At 49.4% G+C, this 14,655-nt stretch overlaps 1 protein-coding gene across 5 annotated transcripts in view, besides 2 other annotated features; it reads left to right on the top strand.

Moving 5' to 3' along the window:
• Positions 1–14,655, top strand: part of DIP2C (disco interacting protein 2 homolog C) — a 415,468-nt gene that overhangs the window by 154,149 nt on the left and 246,664 nt on the right. The window lies entirely within an intron of this gene.
• Positions 1,833–2,334: an enhancer, noted in NCBI's record as "NANOG hESC enhancer chr10:579126-579627 (GRCh37/hg19 assembly coordinates)". NCBI's record gives its function as "activates a minimal SCP1, AML or CMV promoter by ChIP-STARR-seq in naive H9 embryonic stem cells {active_cell/tissue: H9 hESC(naive)}" and the evidence as "EXISTENCE:reporter gene assay evidence [ECO:0000049][PMID:30033119]".
• Positions 11,382–11,882: an enhancer, noted in NCBI's record as "H3K4me1 hESC enhancer chr10:569578-570078 (GRCh37/hg19 assembly coordinates)". NCBI's record gives its function as "activates a minimal SCP1, AML or CMV promoter by ChIP-STARR-seq in primed H9 embryonic stem cells {active_cell/tissue: H9 hESC(primed)}" and the evidence as "EXISTENCE:reporter gene assay evidence [ECO:0000049][PMID:30033119]".

The following is a 14,655-nucleotide window of genomic DNA, read 5'->3' as shown; positions in this document are numbered from 1 at the left end:
CACTACAGAATGGGTACAAAGGCATGCCCCTCATTACCAAAGATTACAGCCAAGTGTCTGCCTCCTGGGGAAGGATCTGTTCTGTGGGGAGTACTAGACGTGGATGATTTCCAGATGTGTGAAGGGAAATGCCCCCCGAGAAGCGTGGCTTTGGCCGGAGCATGTCAGATGAGAGTTAGCACAGCATGGAGTTTCCACAGCGCCCCTCTCGCCTGCTGCTTGTCTCCTCTCCCCACCCCTGGCCCTGACTCTTACCAAGGGAGGAAAGTTCAGCTCCAGCTCAGCCCACGCCTAGGGCTGTGGGTCTCTAGGGCAGGTGCCACCTTCTCCTGAACAGGCTGCGGTAGAGGAGGGTCTGGCTGTACTTGAGATGTGAGAGATGCTCTGATCCAGCATCCTGCAAACCCGGGTGCTGAAGGTTCCTTCTGTACCATCCTGCAGGGAGAGAGGGGTCAGTTCCTGCCTCCCCTCAACCCAGGCTGACTTCTTGTCTGTTGTGTACACCGAGCTCTTAAGAGTACCTATTGTTAAAAATAATCATCCAGGCCGGGCGCGGTGGCTCACGCCTGTAATCCCAGCACTTTGGGAGGCCGAGGCGGGTGGATCATGAGGTCAGGAGATCGAGACCATCCTGGCTAACAAGGTGAAACCCCGTCTCTACTAAAAATACAAAAAATTAGCCGGGCGCGGTGGCAGGCGCCTGTAGTCCCAGCTACTCGGGAGGCTGAGGCAGGAGAATGGCGTGAACCCGGGAAGCGGAGCTTGCAGTGAGCCGAGATTGCGCCACTGCAGTCCGCAGTCCGGCCTGGGCGACAGAGCGAGACTCCGTCTCAAAAAAAAAAAAAAAATAATAATCATCCAGCAGACAAACACTGTAAGATGACAGCCTGGGAGGGTAGATGGGGCTGGAAGGTAGTTTCCTGAATAACAGGGTTCAGTTTCCTGTGTTGGCGTCATTTGACCCAAGGCCCCCAGATAATTGAAATATTGTCAATCAGCAAAACACCGATGTTGTATCTTTTTTTAAAGGAATGTGCGCTAACTTCTTTCTAACAGGGACCTGACAAAAAGAGAAGGATTTCTTCACTATAAGATGAAGGTCGGGGCTGGTTGGCATTTGCCATCTGTGACTAGCAGGGACCCAGGCTGCTTCCCTCCTGCCGCCCAACTCCTGACCATCTGGCTCCTGCCTCTGTCCCCACCAGCAGGAAGAGGAGTGGGAAGGCGCCTTTTCCCCTTTAAGGGGATGAAGTGAGAGTTGCACCTCCCCGTTTCGCACGTCCCCGGGGTGATTCTCCAGCATGGGTGGGAGTTGTGTTTGGAGGCCTGAGCCCTGTGAAGCTAGGGTTGCTGTTACCTGAGCAGCAGAAGCATGGACTCTGGGAAGTGGGGTCAGGGGGCGGCCTCTGCTGCATCCGCAGGAGGGGCTCCTCGTCCCAGTTGACCATCGTCACTGCAGAAGGGGGCGTGGGCTTCATGGTCCATTGATAAATAGAACGTTCCTCTTTTTTTTTTTTTAAAGCATGTCAAACCCTAATTCCTTCAGCCTTTACTAAAGTGGCATTTTATAATTCCATGTGATTTCATTATTATACCTGCAGGAGAGAATGCTTCCTGTAAACCAGAAGTGTCTCTGAGACAGTTCTCAGCCCATTTAGAAAGTTCATTTTCCCACGGTTCAAGACGGCCTCAGGAGGGTTGAGGACACATCTGTGACACGGCCTCAGGAGGGTTGAGTAGGTGCCCGTCACTAAGCAGATACGCATTTATCTCCGTGTGCAGGGGGTGACTTTGAGTTCTGTTCTCTGTCCATGAGAAATTTCCCTGTGGACTAGTTGTGAGGGAGGTACGTGGCTTTTTTTTTTTTTTGGTAGGTATCTCTGTTAGGAAGAGCATGGGGAGGCAGGTTTGCCTAAGCTGTTCCCTACCTTTTCCCTTTAGCTTAGTAATTTTGGGGTCCTGAGATGTTTTCCCTTCACACTCCTGAACACACTGGCACTCTAAACTGTTGTAGGAGGCCATCTAACCTATTTAGAAGAATAAACTATTTGGAAGGATTTGAGCACCTTTGTCCTTGAGAGAAACAAGCCTTTGTTTAGTTTGCCCCGAGGCTGTTATGGTGCCCGGGCTGTGCGGCCTTGAGAAAGCTGTGTCCCCCTGAGCACCTGCCTGTGGAATCTGGTGGCTGTGAAGTTAATCCGGCAGCTAGATGTTCTGGAAAGCAGATTGCCTCGTAAAGTGTTGGTGGTGATGATTCTAACACGGGAATTTCAATGTGTTTTCCACCCTTCTTTCTTTCTCTCCTCATACCGGAGATGCTGCTGCATTTGACCTTAGGCTTCGTCGAGGGAGGGTCAGTTCTGACACTTTCTTAGATACTGACCTTGAATGGACAGAATTGAGATTCAGGAAAACCCTCGAGCTGTGAGAGTGTGCTGGGATCTATGTAAGTGGGGTTTATGTGGGAAACTCAGTAATAGTTTAAGAAATATCAATTCCAGGCTGGGCATAGTGGCTCACACCTGTAATCCCAGCACCTAAAGACCCTGATGCTACAAAAAATTAAGTAGGAGTGGTGGTGTGCACGTGCGGTCCCAGCTACTCGGGAGGCTGAGGCTGGAGGATCACCCAAGCCTGGGAGGTTGAGGCTGCAGTTGAACCGTGATAGCACCTCTGTACTTGTGGTGCACTGTGCCTGAGCGACAGAACAAGGACCCCCGCCACCACACACCCATACTCTCTCACACACCCATACTCTCTCACACACCCATACTCTCTCTCACACCCATACTCTCTCTCACACCCATACTCTCTCTCACACCCATACTCTCTCACACCCATACTCTCTCTCACACCCATACTCTCTCTCACACCCATACTCTCTCTCACACCCATACTCTCTCTCACACCCATACTCTCTCTCACACCCATACTCTCTCTCACACCCATACTCTCTCTCTCACCCATACTCTCTCACACCCATACTCTCTCACACACCCACACAAAATACCAATTCTAAATGGACAGAAACGAGGTCTTCTCAGTGGAAAAACATGCTGTTTTGGTTGCTCTAAGGTAGATGTTGACTCATTTGCCAGCAAGAAAATGCAGCGGCCAGTTTTGCTGGGACCACCTGTTAAGGCTACCCTGGGCCTCATGGTTTGAGAAGGGTCTGTCCAGGGGAGAGAGGGAGTGGCTTAAGGGCCTTAGAAGCCAGTTCTGGTTCAGCATGACTGCGGGGGTGGAGGTGGGGGCAGGGCTTTCCGGGACATGAGTGGGTAACTGGATGGGCTTCCAGGATGAGCCCCTGTGACTTTGGTGGGTTTACATCCATGCAATACAAATCCACAGGCTCTTACTCTAGAAGCTTCTGCCGGGGCTGATGGACTGGCCTGGGGACAGAGGGTGCTTTCTGGTTTAGGAGGGAGCACTCAGTCACTTCTAGGATTTATGGCACTAAAGGGGACTCGTCATACTTGGAACAGCAGCCATCTGCATTCTAGACTTGGTTCTGGGCGAAGTATTTTGGAGCCGGTTGGTACCCTGTGTTCTCTGTTTATCTATAAAACAAAGTTAGAGTTATAACTAGTTAAAACTTATTTTAAAAATTTTGCCACAGAATATGGTAGTTGTGCTGGAGCTGGAAGCTGCCGCGTGCTGGAGTTGCAAGCGTTGCCTGCATTGGCTGCTCCTCCCAGCGTGTCTGTGTTCTTGACACGGGCACCCGTCGAGGCAGCTGTTTGTCCGTGTTCCTCTGAGGTTCCACAGACTTCATGGTCCCGCGGCAGAGCGTATGATATCTGCTTGCATCCTGATTTCCCCACACCCCAGGACAGGCCAAGAATTCCTTACACACAACTGTAGAGGGCCCTATGGTGTGGGTTTGCCGGTGACACCGCCTTTCCCGAGCTCGGCCTTTACCTCCAGAGTTGGCTTTAGGGCGATAGACGCTTCCGTCAGACTGGGGGGCCCTGAACCTTTGGTGTTAGGAATTCGGTGAACGGCACGTATGATACCTCGATTCTTTGCATTTGTAGCAATAGTTGTTAACAACATGACCATGAGATGTACAGAGGAAGGAAAAAGGTTTTATTTTCAGAGTAACAGTCTACTTTGGGAAATGTGGTCTCGGGGGAACTGTAAGCACACGCCCCTCAGGAGGGGAGGAGACCGCGGCATTTAAACACACGGGAGTTTGTTCGCTGTGTGTGTTCATCAGGTTCGTGGAATGTCTGAACGTTTACAGGGAAAGTGGGGTTTGTTCGCTGTGTGTGCTCATCGGGATTGTGGAATGTCTGAATGTTTACGGGGAAAGTCACAGCACACACGCAGTGAGTTAACCTGTAACATCTGTGTTCACCTTGGGGCGAGCGTAACATTTGAAATGAGGTGGACTCAGCGCGTCACGACCAAAGATGAGCTGTTGGGCGCAGACGTTTATGTGCAGCCTCTGTCAACAGCCGAGACTGGCTCAGGGTCTGCAGCTTTTGGCGGGAAAGGATGCTCACGACGCCCTTCTGTCCAGTCGGGGCTGCCTGCAGGGTCCCAGGGTGGGGTGTCTGGTCGGCCGGCATCGGGAGTCTGCCAAGGTCCCGTGGGCAGCGTTCCTCTAAACCAGGCTGCTGTCTGACTGTGGAGGAGACTTCATGCTGGTTAACAAACTGTACAGGAGTTAGTGCCGTGGGGCTTTGGGGCCAACCTTCCTCCCTGTGATGCCGCTTGCATTTCTCTCTGGGCCTCATTGTAGCCACAGAGAGTCCATCTCGTCTGACAGCAGGGGGTGCCATGTTGACATAGTAATTTATTGTATTAATCAACCTTTTCATTACTATGTTAGTAACAGTCTTTTTTTTTTTTTTTTTTTTTAAGAGATAGGGTCTTGCTGTATTGCCCAGGCTAATCTTGAACTCCTGGCCTCAAGCAACCCTCCCACCTCAGCCTCCCAAAGTGCTGGGCTTACAGGCTTGAGCCACTGCACCAGCCTACAGCCATGTTTTTAAAAGTCAGCAGTTTAAAAACCCTACTCCTCTCACCCCCTCAAGCAGGCTGGTTGGCCTTGTACAAACTGGGGTGTCACGACCTTGGCCCCCCTTTTATTTTTCCCTTTCTTTGGCCTCAAGTTCTGATAAGAACAGCAGTTACAAAATGGGCATTAGGTGATTCTTCCATTAATAAAGCCAGAATTCTCATCAGTTAGAGATGTTTGTCCCCAGGAGTCCAGAAAGCTGTTTTGAATCAAGCCCATAGCAAATAAGGAACAAAACCCTTGGTCCTCTGCTTAATATCTGGGAAATGTGTTAGTTGCTGACACCCTTTGATCTGTGCTCACGTGCTGCATCTCCTCACGGGAAGCAAAGTCGCCCTGTGGAATAAAGCCCGGCTCACGGTGGCATGTCCGGGATGCTCCGGGCTGTCAGTCACTTAGACGGCGGCAGGCGTGGAGACTCGGCATCGTGTGCAGAGCTCGGGCAACCGGAGTGCATCCACCTTAGAGACCACACAGCCGGTCGGCAAGGTGGACGTCCAGGCAGATGGCCTGATGGGCCCGCCACGTGGTGGCGAATTAGGAATTTGTTAGCAAAGAAATGAAACTTGCCTGTTGGTCCCAGCTTCTTTGGGAGGCTGAGGCAGGAGGATTGCTTGAGCCAGAAAGTCAAGGCCGCGATGAGCCATGATCGCAATACTGCACTCCGGCCTGGGTGACAGAGTGAGACTCCACCTAAAAAAATAAAAGCAAGCTAAACCTTTCCATAGCAGGAGGGGAGAATTTATCAAAGTAACTGCAACAAAAATCTTAGATGATGTAATTTCAGTGGCTAAGTGAGCTATCCAGCCCATGTGGCTGGCTCACAAAGATGCAACGGAGCCAGGTGCTGCTGCAGCTGCCCTCCCACCCTGATCGTTTGTGGATGTTTTCTGTTTTACGGTGTTTAGGATCTGTCTCCTGTCTTTTCTGTTTTCCCATATCTCCCTTTTGGATACATAGCTCACTACTTTATGGCTAAGCAACAGTAAAATAGGTTGTCTATTTTGAGAACTAACTTTTGTGTCTTTTAAGGACGGAAAACGAAGCAGGTGACAGGAGCATGGCAACGTGGTGAATAGATTTAGTTGAATATTTAAATACTTGGCACCACTCTGATCCCTTCTTCCTCTCTCAAGCTTAATTACAGCCGCTGCCTTCTAGGACAGAGCACTTTCAGCTCTGTGAGTAGGAATTAAACATTTTCTAAATCAGAAGTTTTAGTTAAGCAGTATTTTACGTGAATACCCAGTCCATAAGTGCTCACTGTACTGGTGTGTGGTATAGAGGAAGACCGGGTCTATGGTGCAGTGTCCCAGTTCCCATCTATGAGATGGGGGCCATGAGATGGCCTAGAAGAATGTTCAGATTGTGGGATTGAACGGATCTGCCCCACTCCTGGGAGCCTCGAGTCTAACTCGACTTGGGCAGGTTCTAGGGAGATGCCGGCAGCGCCGTCCTCACAGGTCACTGGGAGGGGTTCTGGCACCATCCCCGTCAGGTGTCTCATGATCAGCTCAGCTTGCCCATCTCAGAAGCTGCTGGTAGTGTTCTCGTTCCTGTTGTTTCTTGCGTGTTATTTAGGTTCTGTTCATGTGGGGACCTAGGAAGTTCCACAGTGAGAGGAGAGCTGCTGAGTCGCCTTCCTGCCTGGACGCCAGCCCCACGGAGGATGGTAACTGCTTGAGGTTGGCTTCTGCCCCCGGCCTCACCTGTGGAAGCACTGATGCAGTGGTACTTTGCAAGCTCCTGGGGCACACTGCACCGTTGTATGGATCCACAGGATACTGTGGTATCCAAGCACGTGCTCCCGGAGGAGAGGACCCTACAGGTGCTGATGCTGGGAGTCGGCAGAGAGTCCAGCGAGTGAGACTCACTGTGACGTGCACAGCTGCCATCTGCACAGCGCCTCCTGAGTCCAAGATGGTTGTGTGATAAGTGCACAAAGCGCATCTCCAGCAAAAAGCCACTAAGTGTCCACATCCGGGATATCCACCACTATGGCTTTTTGGTGTTAATAAGATGAATGTGAGTAGCAAGTGGTCTGCGTTCTGGGGGAGCAGCGGGCGGTCTGCGTTCTGGGGGAGCAGTGGGCGGTCTGCGTTCTGGGGGAGCTGCGGGCGGTCTGCGTTCTGGGTGGGCAGCGGGCGGTCTGCTTTCTGGGGGAGCTGTGGGCGGTCTGCATTCTGGGTGGGCAGCAGGCAGTCTATGTTCTGGGTGTGCGTGACGGTGCCACTGCGTTTTTGTTTTTATGTCTTGGTGAAAGGCATGAATGGCTCCTGACTAGGGTAGGTAAGGATGCTGTGACCAGGGACTCTGCAGTATTGTAGCTTGAGGAACCAAGGAGGTTTTCTCTCTCGCAAACCCTTCAGGGGGGATGTTCCAGGCTGGTGACTGCTCCATGAGGTATTCAGGGATCCAGGTTCCTTCCAGACACCTGCCCTACATTCCCAAGGACACGACTGTCCTTGCTGTGGTTGGGGCTGGGTGATTGCCATGCTGGCGGGGGAGGCTTAGGGTGAGAGTGGCCATCATTTACCTAATCTACATAATTACGTGGAGCTGGGAGTAAAGTGTAGCCGTGGCCTGGAGGATGGACGATGGATGTTGGTGAACAACTGGCTGCACTCACCGCAGCTGGCCCAGGGACGGGAAGGATGGCTGATTATGCCATTCAGCGGTACCTGGTTCTTTCACATTTGACTTTCTTATGGATTTTCTGTTGTACAGAGGAGAGAGCCTGTGGTTCTAGGCCAACCATCTCACTCATCTCATAACATCTTGTATCCCTTAGCCAACATTTATGTCAAGTTTTAGAAGTCCTACAAACTGGCAAGCATTTCTCAATCTGGTGTAACCACTGGATTTTATATCTGTGTCTGCATCTGTATTTACATCTCTGGTTATTTGACACTCTGTAGTACATTTGTAATCGGTTCCATTTGGTGGAAGTTACTTTCAACAAACTCTTGCTGCTACTTGAATTTTCAAGGTTGCAAGTAGAAATGAGGGAATAAACACCACATCTTTTTGCTCTAATTTTAAAATTTGTTGTTCCCCAAATCACACCATAAGTACAAATATTAAAAATTACAAAAGCAGCGGCTGAAGTCAAGGTTAAGGCATTTCTGGGTGATTTTAGCTAATCAGCAATATTTGCTGAGGTGTGTGGAGCAGAACAACATGCCAAGAAGCCCAGAAGCGGGGAGGGTCGGGAGGCCAGGCCATGACTTCAGAGGTGCTGTTTTGTGAGGGAGAGGAGCTAGATGCAGAGATGATAAACAGCTGCAGATGCACCCACTGCCGCACTTCGCACGGTACGGGGCCTTTGTGAGCTGAGTTATGAACCGGGTGAAGGCTGTGCAGGCGTCGGAGAATCCAGGCCAGATGCGATGGGTGGAGGCTGGGTAGAGGTGAGGAGCCAGACAGCCTCACTGAATGTGTGGTGGCTCACTGCAGACAGCTGTCCCCCAGGACGGCTGCCCTTACCCTGTCCGCCTCCACCTACTGAGGCCTATAGGTGTCGCAAGTGTGTGGTTTCTAAACAGACTTGGATGAGTTGCTTGCTGCCTGATGCACCTGGACAGGCGGAGGGCTGGTTATCCATGATGGCACCAGGGACTCTGCCGGGGACTGGCAGGACAGAGCCTCAGAGCACGGCACCAGTTCCCTGGGAGAAGATGGTGCTGGCGGGACGGAGGAAAGAAGAGGCACACAGTGCTGAGGCATGAATGCCAGTTTGCTCTTAGACATGACACAAATGCCTTCCGGAAGTTTCCACATAGGCGCAGTTAAAGCCACCAGTGTGGACGAGTCCTTAGATCAGGAGACCCAGAACATATGTGTATTTGAGATCCTTCACGTGCTGCCATCTCTTCAAAGAGGACCACAAGGTCGTCTCTAGTAATGTAAAACTAACATAAAAGAATTTTTTATTAAATGCCACGGATTTTTTTTTTTTTTTTTGGTGGGGTAGGGCTGGTGTGTGACAGAAAAACAGCGGATACGGTGACACAGCTGGTGGGTGTTGGTTCTGGGCCCCAGCTGTGCAGCTGTATGAATAGAAATTAGTCTCTACAGTGGTATGAACCTAAACACCTGGATTACATGTTTTCATGTATTTAACATAAATAAATGCACACATTTATATGCTAAACACACATTTTTCTAAATTTTATGTAATAAAATTCACACCTTCAAGTATTTAGCATAGAAACAGCTGTGCAGCATCTCCCTGCCCACAGCCACTTGGACGTTCAGAGTGGAAACCACGCGGCTGTGGGCTTTGTGAGTGGTGAGCCGTGCACAGGTGTGCTGCATTTGCTGTGTCTGCTGATGTGAGCCCCGGTCGGTCCTGTTTCAGGTGGACGCTTTCCTTTGTAATTCCCTTCTCTCATTCTAAGTTCAGTAAACTTGGGACCGATGGTGAGTGTAGGCACAGAGGAGCGCAGCATCGGCAATTAAGGAAAATCCACGCCAGGCGTTGCAGAAGGAGGTGGTGTGCGGGGGTTCCACTGCCTGTGTGAGCCATGACTGGTGAGGGCCTCTGGGCAGCAGCTCACCTGGGCTACTTGGAAATGCAGATTCCTGGGCACAGACCTGCTGGGACAAAACCTGAGAGGCCCTGGGTTGACTACCCTCCAGGGATTCCATCCAGGCTTGGCCATCATGTCTCTTGGCAGGTCACTCAGGCCCGGCTGTCTCATTGAGATGCCTGGCCATCGCAGGGTTAGCTGAGTCACCTGCACAGCTGGTGTGGGTGTGCTGATGGGTGTACGGGGCTGGCCTGTCTTCCTTTCTCCACCTACGAAGCATTCAAAGGCCTGTTATCCTACCCTGTTCTCTCCCTGTCCTCAGTGGGCAAGCAGGAGGTTCATTTTCACTTGCAGATGAGGAAAATTCTGAAGTCTTGTAAAGCAGCCAAGATCATATTCAGAATCTTCTTTGTTCCAATCAGCTCGAATTTTTACAGTTAGAAAGACTTTTCCTCAAACACTTTGTATTTGTTCTGTATGAGAAGTGCCGTAGACTTTGCTGTTGTTTTACTAATTAGTATCTGTACTGTGTTCTGCTGTCCATCACAAATGTATGTATTTTCATTCTGAGATACGCTGAGTCTCAGCCTTTGCAATCCAGAGGGATTTCATGTGTGTTCATAAAAGCTTCTATCAGAAACCACATTCCGAATAGCTGTGGACATACAACCTGCTTGTGACTTGGAAATTGCTGAAGTCAAATTCTATCTCGGTTTGAGGCGTTAGGAGCTTTAGAAATTTTGAAATTATAAAATGAAAATGTGATAAAATTAAGTACATTTAAACAAAAGAGATATGCTGTGGGTTTTAAGGGCTGTGATGCATTTAAGAATGCTTTTCTGTATTTTAGATTTGGTTGTCTTTAAGGATGTCATGTTCCATCCAAACTACAAATACATGAGATAATTTAAATGTAAGTTGAACCCTTCAGAATATCCTGGATTTGGTCTTGATCTTCTGACCTTGAAAATGTGATTCTTTTTTTTTTTTTTTTGAAATTGTGATTGTCTTAAACTGTGTGTCTAGACCATCTCCTCTGAATTGCTTTGGAAACATCTGCACGGGCATCTTCCTGTTCTTGAGTATAGAGAGGTGGACATCATTACGCTTTAAAATAGCGAAAGTCCTGTAGAGCAGTTTTTCTTAATCAGTGATGGTATTTAAAAATGAACTCCCTAATGCTTAAACTAATGAGCTATTATTGTTGGAAGTATTCAAGGTAGCAAGTTATAGAATCTCTCAGTGAAAGTGATTTGAAATAAGAAATTGCGAGAGTGCAATGCATTCTTTGTTTTTAAAATAAAACGCTAATACTTAGAGAATGTTTTGTTTGCAAGAATGTAAGATGTTATGTCTTTGTATAGAATTTAAGGATAGTAATTTGCTTCTGAGATCTTTGAGATTTGAAATCTCAACTATGGTTTATCGTCCATGTTTTATACATTTGCACATATACACATATATATGTAAGGTATATAAAAGTAGAGGAAAATAAGCATGTATATATTTACATGTATATACACTTCTATAATGTGTATACTTCCAGTCACATATAGGTCTGAGTGACTGATTTTACTTGATGACCATGAAGGTAATTAAATAATTTTCCTGCTGTTAGCCTTGCTTTTTGCATCTGAGCAGGGACCCTGTGAAGTGTGCCTCCCGCGTTCCAGGCCTCACACAGTCTGTACCAGGGTTTGGAAGCAGGGGTTTTTCTGCAGCCACTTCAAGAAGCAGGTGGTTGCCAGGATTGCCTGGAGCTCCAGGCTGCCTCCAGTTCCAGCCTCCCTGGGGTAGAAGCTGCCCCACTAGGGGCCTTGACATGGACGTTAGGGCCTGGAGCCAGGGACTCCTTCCTGAAGGGGTGCTCCAGTCACGGCTGGGCGTGAGAACTGAGGGCGGGAGGTGGAACCAGCCTCGGGCCATTGCACGGCCTCCTGGGAGTGCTTATGGGAAGCCCCAGCCACCCTTTGCTGACCCCACAGCCAGCATCAAACTCTGAGATCCCCTTGGCCCACCCCTCAGGTTCCTAAAATGCTTTGGGTTTCCTGGGCTGCGAATTTTTAGGTCTAGGCTAAAAGGTCCTGGGACAGAGTCACAGGGTTCTTTATGTGTAAAAGCGACAAGTGTGCTGGTAACTCAGAGCAGTCCCTGCATCCTCGCTCCAGGGTCCTTTGCGTCAGGTGGAAACGGGCGTGTTGGTCACACAGAGTCCCTGCATCTTCACTCCAGGGTCCTTTGCATCCAGTAGAAACGAGTGTGTGGGTGACACAGAGTCCCTGCATCGTCACTCCAGGGTCCTTTGCATCCGGTAGAAACGAGTGTGCGGGTCACACAGAGTCCCTGCATCCTCACTCCAGGGTCCTTTGTGTCATGTGGAAACGAGCGTGTGGGTCATGCAGAGTCCCTGCATCCTCACTCCAGGGTCCTTTGCTCAGGTAGAAACGAGTGTGTGGGTGACACAGAGTCCCTGCATCCTCACTCCAGGGTCCTTTGCATCCAGTAGAAACGAGTGTGTGGGTGACACAGAGCCCCTGCATCTTCACTCCAGGGTCCTTTGCATCCGGTAGAAACGAGTGTGTGGGTGACACAGAGTCCCTGCATCGTCACTCCAGGGTCCTTTGCATCCGGTAGAAACGAGTGTGTGGGTCACACAGAGTCCCTGCATCCTCACTCCAGGGTCCTTTGCTCAGGTGGAAACGAGTGTGTGGGTCATACACAGTCCCTGCATCCTTACTCCAGGGTCCTTTGCATCAGGTGGAAACGAGCTTGTGGGTCAGAGTCCCTGCATCTTCACTCCAGGGTCATTTGTGTAAGGTAGAAACGAGTGTGTGGGTGACACAGAGTCCCTGCATCCTCACTCCAGGGTCCTTTGCATCAGGTGGAAATGAGCGCGTGGGTCACGTAGAGTCCCTGCATCCTCACTCCTCAGGTAGAAATGAGTGTATGTGTCACACAGAGTCCGTGCATCCTCACTCCAGCGTCCTTAGTGTCAGGTAGAAATGAACGTGTTGGTCACACACAGTTCCCTCACTCCAGGGTCCTTTGCTCAGGTAGAAACGAGCGTGTTGGTCATGCAGAGTCCCTGTATCCTCACTCCAGGGTCCTTTGCGTCAGGTAGAAACGAGCTTGTGGGCCACGCAGACGGGGAGAACGTATCTACAAAAGGCTCATCTGATAAAGGCTGTTATCCAAACCATGCAAGGAACTCTCAAAACCCAATAATAAGAAAATGAACCACCTGATGAAAAAATGGACCAAAGACCTTGGACAGATACCCCAACAAAGAAGAGACACAGATGGCAAATCCACATGTGGAAAGATGGTCCGTGTCTTATGTCGTAGGGCGAGGCGCCACTGCGCACCCAGCAGCCTGGCCAAAACTGGAACTGCGACACCGCCGCGTGCTGGTGGGCGTGTGGGGCATCAGGACCCTCACTTGTGGCTGGGAAAAGTGGGGCAGCTGCTGTGGAAGGCGGTTTCCCATGGAACTAAGCACTCCGACCACAGGAGCAACCACAGTCCTGGACATTTACTCAGGAGCTGAAGTTTACTTCCATGCGGAAATCTGCACACAGATGTTGACAGCAGCTTTTATAACTGCCAAAACTTGAAAGCAACCAAGATGCCCTTCAGTAGGTGAATGGATAAACTGTGGTACATCAGAAACTGGGATATTATTCAACACTAAAAAGAACTGGACCACTAATCCATGAAAAGACATGGAAGGATCTTAAATGCATGTTGCTAAGTGAGAGTCCAATCTGGGAAGGCTGCCTGCTGTCTGAGTCCAACGACAGGACAGCCTGGAAAAGGCACAACTGCAGAGACAGTAAAACCGTCAGCAGCTGCCAGGGGTTGGGGAGGGGAGGGGTGAATGGGAGGAGCATAGGGGCTGTTTAGGGTGGGGAAGCAACTCCGTGTGGGGCTGTCATGGGGGATCCATGCTGTTCCACGTCTGTGAAACCCACAGAGTGAGCAGCAGCAGGCTGAGACCTCGTGTGAGCTATGGACTCTGGGTGGTGGTGCTGTGTTGATGCGGGTCTGTCATTTGTACAGACATGCTGGTCCGGTGGGGGTGGGGGAATGATGGAGGCTGTGCATGTGCTGGGGAAGGAGATACGTGAGGACTCTGTGCTTTCCTCCCGATTTTGCTATGAACCGAAAACCGCTTTTTAAAAAGTCTATTGAAAAGGCAAACAAAAAATAGTGCTGGCCAGATAGAATCTGTGTGAGGGTGTCTCCTGTGTTCTACATTCAGGATTTCCCCATTAGAATACACAAATCTAAATTATTCAAAAGTTAAACCTTTGCATTAAGTAACTCACTACAAAGTTAATTACAGTATCAGTGAGCTTGAGCACTGCCAGGATAGCCAGGATCCTATATCTGGACCGGCTTCTCCCCTTACAGGTGCAGTGATGCTCATGGTCTCACCCCAGTGAGCAGCAGGGCTGGGACCACACGTCAGGCTTTGGGGGGCAGAGAGGAAGCGAGACTTGTAAGCATGTGCCTGGGGGCAGGCAGGGATGAGCATGTGGCCAGGGATGATTTTTTGACGAGTTTTCCTTATCATTGAGGCCTTCTCTTAGACTTGGGGAGTCGGGAGTCCCCACTCAGGCACCTCAGAATCCACAGGCTGCTCGTAATCCTCACATTCCAGATGCCTCAGGGGAGGTGTTCAGTTGTTGGGTGCTGTTCCTTTGTTTGCTGCTTGGTGGGATTTGCCTGCAGCATTTCTGGTTGTTTTTAAGAGCTGATGCTTGATCTGCTTAAAATCACATATGGATATTGATTTACCTGTAAAAGTTAAAAATGGAATTTGAGTTCAAAGATTTGTGAAAATGCTCGTTTGTTTACTAATGTATACATTACATTTGTGGAAATATCCAAAAGTCCAGGATTTATATTAAATACTTCTCTTGATTTTTGTAATACCTACTTGTCATATTTCCATTTGATTAATAGATGTCAGAGGGCTTAAATTTTGAGTGCCTGAATTCACTGAATTTAAAACTTAACGTCAAATGTAATTAAACTGAATGTAGCCAACAGTGTATGACTTTAAAAGTATTGATTAAAACATATATAAAAACA

Source organism: Homo sapiens, chromosome 10 (genome assembly GCF_000001405.40).
Source record: "Homo sapiens chromosome 10, GRCh38.p14 Primary Assembly".
NCBI lineage: Eukaryota > Metazoa > Chordata > Mammalia > Primates > Hominidae > Homo > Homo sapiens.
Note: the sequence above shows the minus strand (reverse complement) of the source record. Positions and strands in the feature narration are given on the sequence as shown.